The sequence below is a fragment of the Homo sapiens genome, chromosome 12, assembly GCF_000001405.40.
Source record: "Homo sapiens chromosome 12, GRCh38.p14 Primary Assembly".
NCBI classification, from domain to species: Eukaryota; Metazoa; Chordata; class Mammalia; order Primates; family Hominidae; genus Homo; species Homo sapiens.
This window is the reverse complement of record NC_000012.12, coordinates 42,135,492-42,145,734: the sequence shown is the minus strand read 5'-3', so window position 1 is coordinate 42,145,734 and position 10,243 is coordinate 42,135,492. Positions and strand designations below refer to the sequence as shown.

General features: G+C 43.0%; 1 protein-coding gene across 2 annotated transcripts in view, besides 3 other annotated features; it reads left to right on the top strand.

Moving 5' to 3' along the window:
- Window positions 434–503: an enhancer, noted in NCBI's record as "active region_6209". NCBI's record gives its function as "activates an Ori minimal core promoter by ATAC-STARR-seq in GM12878 lymphoblastoid cells {active_cell/tissue: GM12878}" and the evidence as "EXISTENCE:reporter gene assay evidence [ECO:0000049][PMID:35858748]".
- Window positions 664–1,163: a silencer, noted in NCBI's record as "silent region_4358". NCBI's record gives its function as "represses an Ori minimal core promoter by ATAC-STARR-seq in GM12878 lymphoblastoid cells {active_cell/tissue: GM12878}" and the evidence as "EXISTENCE:reporter gene assay evidence [ECO:0000049][PMID:35858748]".
- GXYLT1 (glucoside xylosyltransferase 1) overlaps window positions 861–10,243 on the top strand; it is a 63,030-nt gene continuing 53,647 nt past the window's right edge. For both annotated transcript variants that reach the window (NM_001099650.2, NM_173601.2), the window contains exon 1: window positions 861–1,309. In NM_001099650.2, coding sequence (NP_001093120.1) covers window positions 1,089–1,309 — 221 coding nt within the window. In that variant the 5' untranslated portion in view covers window positions 861–1,088. The remainder of the gene's footprint in view (window positions 1,310–10,243) is intronic.
- Window positions 1,244–1,473: a silencer, noted in NCBI's record as "silent region_4357". NCBI's record gives its function as "represses an Ori minimal core promoter by ATAC-STARR-seq in GM12878 lymphoblastoid cells {active_cell/tissue: GM12878}" and the evidence as "EXISTENCE:reporter gene assay evidence [ECO:0000049][PMID:35858748]".

Genomic DNA, 10,243 nt, shown 5'->3' with positions numbered 1-10,243 from the left:
GGATCTTAAGTCTGTTATCACTGCGTTGCGCTTATTTACAAGTATCCGCTGTCCCACCCACGCTCCACTTAGGCCTCTTTATACCCCTAGGTACTCACACAGAGCTTGGCACAAGTGATGCTTTATAAATGGTCAATGAATGAACGTAGTGGAAACACAGAAGAAGAGGGAGAAGAACTGGGGAAGAAAGAAGCTCTGTGGAGAGAATACTAATTGTTTTGCACATGAAAATAATGAGTTGTGAGGGAGGTCAAAAAGGTCAAAGGGAAGAGCCCTGCCTTACAGGAACTCACTGTCTGCTGGGAGGCAAGAGGTAAGGTCCGCATACCAAACACACGAAGCAATGAGCTTATCGGGGTGAAAATGGCTCGTGCACATTATAGTATCACAGAAACTTAGAGGCTGGGGGAGGATGGAGAGGAAACTGGCCTAGTCAAGTGTCTTCTAAGTGTTAGGCGGTTTTCGAGCGTTAAACAGTTTAATCTTTACAACCACCCCATGATGAGGATAGTAGCTCCATTTTAGGGACGAAGAAACATGCTCAGAGAATTTAGGTTGCCCAATGTCACAAACTACCATGTGGAAGGACCATAATTAGAATTTAGGTCAACTGCCTCCAGAGCCCTGAGGCTTTCGCTCCCCCTCTCTCGGCGGTCGAGACCCACAGGGCTCCCATTCACCTGCGCGTCGGCCTGCGCTAGCTATAGCCCTCAGGCGCGCCGCGTTCCGCGCACTCACACCACCCTCTGCGCGCCAGCCCTGCGTCCCTCCCACGCGAACTGCGCCGGCGCGTCCAGCCCTCCCGCCCGGGGGAGGGGCGGGGTTGCGTCGCTGCCGCTGACCCTTGAGCGCGCGGCGGCAGAGGCGGTGTCCAGGCTTCCGGGCGGGTAGTCCTTCGGCTCCGGAGCCGCGACTGCGCTCGCCTAGGTGGTGGGCGGGGAGGGAAGGAAGGGAGCGGGCGCAAGGCGGCGGCGGCGGCTGCGGGTGAGGAACTTGTTGCGCCCGCGGCTGCGCGGTGCCCCTCCCTCCGCTCCAGTTCGTCGGGGCGGGCGCGGCGGCGGCGGCGAAGGAGGAGCGCGGCCGGGGCGATGCGGCGCTACCTGCGCGTCGTGGTGCTGTGTGTGGCCTGCGGCTTCTGCTCGCTCCTTTACGCTTTCAGCCAGCTCGCCGTGTCCCTGGAAGAAGGAACGGGCGGCGGTGGCGGGAAGCCGCAGGCCGCGGTGGCTTCCTGGCTCGCGGGCGGCGGACGCGGCGCCGTGAGAGGCGCCGGCGTCGCGGGCCCCGCAGCGCATCCCGGCGTGTCGGACAGGTACGGGCAGTTCCCGGTGTGGGGGACGCGGCGGGCGCGGGGCGCTGGGCGCGGGCTCGGCCTAGCCCGGGCTGCTCGCCGGTGGGTGCCGCGTCTCCCGCGTCTTTCCTCCTGTCTCTGACCCCTCACTCATTTCCCTCCTTCCCCTCCGGCCGGGGCTAAACCTGCGCTGCTCCCGCCTGAGAGTGTCCTACACTTTCTGTGTTTATCTTTTGACCCAGTCATGCGCCCTTTAAAGCAGTTAGAAATTAATTTTCAACTTTTTAAAAAGAGGGTTCTTTGAAAATAAGAGGTGTCCACAAAAGCCTTACTGCTGCCTGGCTAGTGAGAATTTCCTCTTGTTTCAGTGGAGTTCAAGTTGAGATATTTAAACATGAGGCTGGCGCCCTAGTTCAGTGTTTAAGGATTGTGTGTGTGTGTGTGAGTGTATATGTGTGTGTATTTTGTCCCTCATGCTGATTTTCCTGTGTTAACGCTTACACTTCTAAGTATTAGCCATGGTTAGTTAAATTTGGAAATGGCATTTGTGCGGGTTGTGAAATTTTCTTTTGGAAACACTCAGTTTATTAAGAAACTTAGAGCAAATTAAGAAAAATGAGCGATACTTGGCGTGCTCAAGTCTGTTGTTGGATGGGATGGAGTTACCTTTCTTGACAAATTGGTATTTAAAAAGCGACGTAATGACTTAGGACGTAATCACTGCCAGAGTGGGAATCAACATGAGATTTAAATAGAAAAAAAATGTTTCTGTCAACGCATTATGAATGCTTGAAATCTGAGCGTTTGCACTGCCTTGCAACATGGACACTTCCACCTTATGTATGGGCATCTCTCTGGGAATGACCTGAAGTGCTCCCTACCAAGACTTGGCAAATGCTGCTTTGATATAGAGAAGTATAGGGTTTGTCGGAAGAGGGAGTATAGATCAGTTGTGGGCTGTTGTTTAACATCATTTTGAGAGTCGATGGTCATTCCCAGAATGAAAGGGGAAAGTTTGGGCAGAGGAGCAGCGTGGAAAGCGGACTTGTCATGTTTTTACCCTGAGATTTGATTACAGTCAGGGTAATTCCTACATCAGGACCCTCAGTTGTCTGTCCTGGGAGAAAGCAGTCACTGAAGACTTGAATGAGCTCGTGAAAAATGACAGGTTGAAGCTAAACTGTTTATGGCCTAGTATGTTATTGTGAAGCATTTGCAATTATGGAAAAGGAATTATTTTTATATGGGGTAGAATTGTAAGGAAGCAACATTTTAATTAAATATTGAATGAAATTAGACTGATGTTAACATCACATTTTTAGTGCCTTGGTCTTAGATATTTTATTTTGTGACAGAAATTTACAAATTTTGTTTGCTTGACCAGCTAATTTTAATAAAATTATTTGAAATTTTCGAAAATAGCCTCAGTTTTAATAAACATCCAATATAATCATTACTGAAACGTTAAGTTTTATGTGTCAGGATTGAGTCAACCGAAATACTGTACTTTTTTAGGTCCTTTGAGTAGCATTACTCTTTATTTTAAATGAGGCGTACATCTAAGTTAGAACTATAGGTGTATTTATCTCTCTTTGTAAAAATGTGATGAAGAACAGCATGTCACCACATTTGCGCGCATAAGAAACCATTTGGGCAGGGGAACAACGTGGAAAAGTTGGATTGTGAAGTTTTACTCTATGGTTAGATTAAGATCACGCAAATTACTAAGACCTCAGGACTCTATTTTGTATATCGTCATTTATAACATCTTTATAGAAATGTCATAGAATTAAATCAACTTTTGGCAACGCTCGGTAGCTCACGCCTGTAATCCCAGAATTTGGGGAGGCTGAGTGGGGATGATTGATTGCTGGAGGCCAGGAGTTTGACACCAGCCTCGTCAACAACCCATCTTTACAAAAAATAAAAAAATTAAAAAAAAATTAACTGAATGTGGTGTTTCACACCTGTAATCCCAGCACTTTGGGAGGCTAAGGTGGGAGGATCACTTGAGCCCAGGAGTTCAAGGCTACAGTGAGCTATGATTGCACCAGTGTAATCCAACCTGGGTGACAGAGCAAGATCCTGTCTCAAAAAAAAAAAAAAAAATTAACTTTTTTGGCCACCATGAGATACGGTATAGAAATCCCTAACCTCTTCATGTATAAATCATTTGGCCAAGATCCAAAGCAAATCAGTGTTGGAGGAGGATTAGAAACTGTATCCTTGGAGTGTTATACAAGAGCTCTTTCTGTAAAGAAAGATAAGGGTCTAGTTTAGATAGTGGACTCAGTGGGCAATGGGGCTATGGGGCAAGCCAGCAGCTTCCTCTTTTCAGTAGTACTTAGGTATTATTGCATTTTTGCCTTTTTTGATAACATCTTACTTGAAAGATTATAACTATTTCTCTCTTTTTATTTTAAACACGGGATCTAGGTTTGTACCCAGTAAGTTCCATTGGTCAGATCTTATAAAAACTATTCATGGTATAGAATTTCATGACGACAAAAGACTTGGAGTCCTTGAAGTAAGAACTTTAAAATGAAAGGAACAGTTTTTCAGTGGAATCTCTTATCCGTTAGTGTATTCTGTTTGAAGCCATGATTTTAATAATCAGAAAATACATGGGTCTTGTAGTCAGATAAACCCGTGTTCTCAGTATTCTGGCTCTGGTTGCTGTGAGACTTTGCCTAAATTGTGTCACATGCCTGTGTTTTAATTTCCTCACCTGTAAAATGTAGATAATACTTAAATTTTTTTAGCTTTAGTAGGGTATAATTGATAAATAGAAACTATATGTTTAAGGCATAGAACTTGATAGTTTGACATACATATACATTGAGAAATGATCACAGTTAAGCTAGTTAATATCATCACTTCACATAGGGTTTTTTTTTTTGTGGTGAAAGCACTAAAGATCTACTGTCTTAGCACATTTTAGGTATACTGTACACTTTGTTAACTATAGTCATCAGGCTGTACATTAGATTACCTTACTTAATTTGTAATAGAATTCTTAGTTGTCTTTGATGAAAATTCAGTAAAACTATCTCAAGCAAAACATATTTATAGGCTTATACAGTTTTTGAAATGAAGGAAAAACTGCAGATAGCAGGGCAGCTCAAAGGACCTTAAGGACTGGGGAGTCTTTTCCAGTAAAGACAAAACTTTGTTCATGGGGTTTTTCTGTTCTTGCAGGTTTTATTCTCTAATCTCAAATACAAAATCCTAGGAAAAGGCTGTCATTGGACTTGCCTGGGTTGCATGCCCGTTTGTGGACCAGTCAGTGTTACTTGGGATGGGGAACTCTGATTTGTTGACTCTGTGTCACTTGCACATTCCTGTGGCAGACAGAATAACATGATTGGTGTTGGAGAGGAGCGGTGCCTCAAAGGAGAAGGAATGCTGGATAGGCAGTGGCTGTTCTAGAAGGAGATACTCAAGCTCTTCAGTGTGGACAGACTGTATTAAGGTGTTTGACAGAAAGCAGTAGTTATTACCGGACATCACTAATTCATACCACTTTGTTGCATTTTAGTTACTCAGGATGATTAAATTATCATATTTCACTGATGAGTCCTGACATTGATTATCAAAATTTTACCTGTGGCTATACAGCAGTATTGGTAGTGGGGAATCAAGAAATTACTAAATGTTTCAGTGATACCGTTTCTGGACCCATCAAGCCCTTGGAGTCTCCTTATGTGTCTCCTTGTCACACAGGGAGGTAATTATTTCACTTTCTTTTTTAGATCTGGTTAGGCCATAGAGTTGTCATTTCTGCTGGATCCTGGGAATACTAGTGTTATATACTGAGAACTTAAAGAATAGAAAGTAAGAGTTTTGGAGTGACAGACTTCAGCTTTGCCACTTACTGTGTTGACCTTGAACTTGTTTTCGTCATCAGAGAGAACAGTATGATATTGTTTGTGAGAATTGAAATTAAATATTAAATAGCTGATACAGAGTACCTAGTATGGTGCCTGACACAACAACATTTTAGCTAATATCATTTTGGTAATTTAAATTTTAAGTTGGGATTTTTTTTTTCTTCCAATTTCTGACCTCTGGGAAAAATTCTGGTCATTGGGCTCCAGTTAAGACCTGTTAAATCAAAATGCCCTGGCAGTGGGGTCCAGGAATTTATGTTTTAGATATGTGCTCCAGCTTGTTATAAAACCAAAAATTGAGAATAGTTTGGGCACTATTTTCACACTACTGTTTTTAGTGAAGTCCCCCCCCCCCCGCCTTTTTTTTTTTTTTTTTGAGATGGAGTCTTGCTCTGTCACTCAGGCTGCAGTGCAGTGGTGCGATCTCAGCTCACTGCAAGCTCCGCCTCCCGGGTTCATGCCATTCTCCTGCCTCAGCCTCCCAAGTAGCTGGGACTACAGGTGCCTGCCACCATGCCCAGCTAATTTTTTGTATTTTTAGTAGAGACGGCGTTTCACCATGTTAGCCAGGATGGTCTCCATCTCCTGACCTTATGATCCGCCCACCTCGGCTTCCCAAAGTGCTGGGATTACAGGCATTAGCCACCGTGCCCAGCCCTTTTCCCCCCTTTTTTCTGCAGTTATGTTTGAAGAAGAGAGTTGAGTCAGTGAACAGTAAAGAAAGTTGAATTACTTACTAAAGCCACTTTAATCTCTGCTTTGTTATTGCAAAAACATCTTACATAAAACCAGTGCCCTATACTTTGTATTTTAGGTCATTGAAGGATCATAGTGGTATCTACGTTACATATTTGTGAAGGGTTATCTTGGTTTCTTTGGGCTGCTATAACAAAATACCATCGACTAGAGAGCTTAGAAACTACAGAAATTTATTTCTTACAGTTCTGGAGACTAGAAATCCAAGTCAAGGTACCAGCAGATTCAGTGTCTGATGAGGACCCATTTCCTGGTTCATAGATGGCGCCTTCTCCCTGTGTTCTCACATGGTAGAAGAGGCGAGGCAGGCCCCTTTTATAAGGCCCCCCACTAATCCCATTCATGGGGGCTCTGCTCTCATGACCTAATCATCTACCAAAAGGCCCTACCTCCTAACATCATGTTAGTAATTAGATTTCAACATATGAATTTTGAGGGGACACATTCAGACCATAGCAAATTCTTAGTCCAAACCTGACACATATTAATAAATACTAGTAATTAATTAATTAAAATATTCTGTGCTTTTGGAGGAGAAAGTTACTTGGTTGATGAAAAAATAATATGTACTTTTGATTTAGAAATCTTTTTTTTTTTATTTCTGAGACAAGGTTTCACTCTGTTACCCAAGCTGGAGTACAGTGGCCTGAGATCATGGCTCACTGCAGCCTTGACCTTCTGGGCTCAAGTGATCCTCCCACCTTAGCTTCCCGAGTAGCTGTGACTACAGGCGTGCACACCACACCTGGCTTTTTTTTTTTTTGAGACAGAGTCTCGCTCCATTGCCCAGGCTGGAGTGCAGTGGCATGATCTTGGCTCAGTGCAACCTCCGCCTCCCGGGTTCAAGCAGTTCTCCTGCCTCAGCCTCACAAGTAGCTGGGATTACAGGTGTGTGCCAACTGCCCAGCTTTTTTTGTTTTTTTCTTTTTGTATTTTTTAGTAGAGACGGGGTTTCACCGTGTTGGCCAGCCTGGTTGGTCTTGAACTCCTGACCTCAGGTGATCCACCTGCCTCGGCCTCCCAAAGTGCAGGCATGAGCCACCATACCCTGCCTAGAAAATCTTATTTTAAAGCAGTAAGATCATTATCTATATGCCATACCTATTGGAAGTACTTCCCCTACGTATAAACTTAAATTTTGTTCATAATGTGTGTACTGTATGAGGTTTATGATTTTTGTTTTCAGATTGGCTACTTTTTACTTTATCGTGTTTACCTTTATTACGCATAGGAAAGCTTTCTACCAGTTTTTTTCCCCTCCCTTTTTTAGATTTAAATCAATCCAGCTTTGTGGGGGAGCTGGGGGCTGGTAGAGGAGGTATATTGTGTGATGCTAACTTATTCTTTGAAATGGGTAGATGATTGTTTCAGTGTCATTTATATATAAGCAGTCCTTTTCCTACTTGCCAAGGATTAATGAAATTAGAAATTTAAGAAAAAGAAGATCTTACTTAGAGCTAGAAGTTAAGTTGTCTAGAAATTATTTATTTGTTTGTTTGTTTATTTATTTATTTATTTGAGACGCAGTCTCTGTCACCCAGACGCAGTCTCTGTCACCCAGACTGGAGCGCAGTGGCACTCTCTCGGCTCACTACAGCCTCCACCTTCTGGGTTCAAGCGATTCTTCTGCCTCAGTCTCCTGAGTAGCTGGGACTACAGGCGCATGCCACCACACCTTGCTGATTTTTTATTTTTAGTAGAGATAGGGTTTCCCCATGTTTGCCAGGCTGGTCCCGAACTCCTGACCTCAGGTGATCTGCCTGCCTCAGACTCCCAAAGTGCTGAGATTACAGGCGTGAGCCACTGCGCCCGACTTGGAAACAATTTAGTTGAAAATTAAATAGTAGTGATTTGGCAGTATCATGGGAATGGCCTCCTTTAATGTGTCCGTAAGCATCTTTGCTTTTCTTGCACAGTCACAGGGAGGGTATACATGCCTTGAAGTTGCATTACTGCTTTGCAGCAGCACTTCATTCATACTGTCAAATATTTATGCTGAATATGCCTAAATTTATCACTGACTTTTTTTTTTTTTTTTCAATTTGAGATGGAGTCTCGCTCTGTCACTTAGGCTGGAGTGCAGTGGCATGATCTCGGCTCAAGGCAAGCTCCGCCTCCCGGGTTCACGCCATTCTCCTGCCTCAGCCTCCCAAGTAGCTGGGACTACAGGCGCCTGCCACCACGCCCAGATAATTTTTTGTATTTTTAGTAGAGACAGGGTTTCACCGCACCGTGTTAGCCAGGATGGTCTCGATCTCCTGACCTTGTGATCCGCTTTTTTTTTTTTTTTTTTTTTTGAAACAGATGCTCTGTCGCCCAGGCGGGAGTGCAATGACGCGATCTCAGCTCACTTTAACCTCTGCCTCCTGAGTTCAAGCGATTCTCCTGCCTTAGCCTCCCAAGTAGCTGGGAGTACAGGTGCATGCCACCAAGCCTGGCTAATTTTTTGTGTTTTTAGTAGAGACAGGGTTTCACTGTGTTAGCCAGGATGGTCTCGATCTCCTGACTTTGTGATCCTTCTGCCTCGGCCTCCCAAAGTGCTGGGATTACAGGCGTGAGCCACTGCGCCTGGCCTAATTTTTGTATTTTTAGTAGAGATGAGGTTTCACCATGTTGGTCAGGCTCATCTCGTATCACTGACTCTTTGGTAAGTTTTGCATAGTTTTCACTGAAGCCTCCTATCTTGGACATTTTGAAATGAAAATTACTTTTTCTAGTTTAACTTAAAAGTACAACCAGGCATGGTGGCTCGTACCTGTAATCCTAGCAGGGAGGCAAAGGTGGGTGGATTGCTTGAACCCAGAAGTTCTAGACCAGCCTTGGCAAAACACTCTCTCAACAACAACAAAAATACAAAAAATTACCTGGGCATAGTGGTGTGCGCCTGTGGTCCCAGCTACTCCAGAGGTTGAGGTGGGAGGATTGCTTGAGCCCAGGAGGTTGAGGCTGCAATGAACCGTGTTCGCACCACTGAACTCCAGCCTGGGCGACTTGTGTGTGTGTGTGTTTGTTTGTATGTATGTATGTATGTATGTATGTATGTATGTATAAAAAACCTCCTGTAATTGGTTTTAAGTAAACTTCAAGTTTGACAAATGTTATTATGCCGAGTGTTGTTTTATCACATGTAAATACATGTAACCACCCCCAAAATTAGGATTAGGATACAGAATTGTTTCATCACCGCAAAGGTACCTTGTGCTACCCCTTGGTCAGTTGTAGACAAGCTACCTAGAGCTAGATGCTTTATGCCTTATTAAACTTGAGGATGAGCCATAGTAACATTTTATTTCAGTTTGATCCACAGTGAAAAAGTTCCCTTTTAGGACTTCAGTGCTTTTGAATGTCAGTATGGGTATAGTGAAGACATACCCACCTAACTCATATTAATGCTTTGCCTCATTAAAATTATTTAATAGAGTTACCTCTTTGAATGTTGGATGTTTAATATTCTGCTTTCAACAGTTTTAAGCAACTAATAGCCAGAACCTGGATAACTACCTTTACTTTTCCAGTATTTTCAAACTTTAATTTTTCTTTTTGGCCTAAAAGTGCAAGTGCTGTCTTCAGATGAGTTGCTTTTGCTAATTTATCTTATTGCTTCTAATAAGCCACTGATATGTCATAAGTTCTCAGTGTGAGTTTCTACTCTTTATCTAAATCTCCCAAACCAGTTTTTCAAAATGGGAGAATAGATATTTGGGAGTTAAAAAACTATAAACAAATTACTTCATTCCTTACAGCAATACCTAAGTGTTTTATGATTTTTTAATGGTATGCAGCATATGTATTCACTAGTGCATGTGTTCTTATATTTCCAGTAAAGAAAGAAAAACATCTTTCCTATATACTATGTGTTTTTTGACATTGAATTATGATCAATAAATTTACCTATAACTTGATTTTTCCTATCCAATTTTGACTGCATTAAACCTTTGTGAAGTAAATCATTACCCCCCAAAGAAACCCTGTATCCAGTAACAGTAACTCCCACCTTGCACTCCTCAGTCCCCCAGTCATGAGCAACCACGAGTCTACTTTCTGTCTGCCTGTTTGGGGCATTTTACATAAAGGAATCACACAGTATGTGGCCTTTTGAATCTGGCTTTCTTTTTGGCATAATATTTCAAGGTTTATCCACTGTAGCGTGTATCACTATATTTCATTCCTTTTTATGGACAAATAATAGTCCATTGTATGGATATACCACATTTTGCTCATTATTTGGTGGACATTTGAGTTCTTTCATACTTTTTGGCTATTATGAATAATGCTGCTCTGAGCATTCATGGACAGTTTTTCTGTGAAC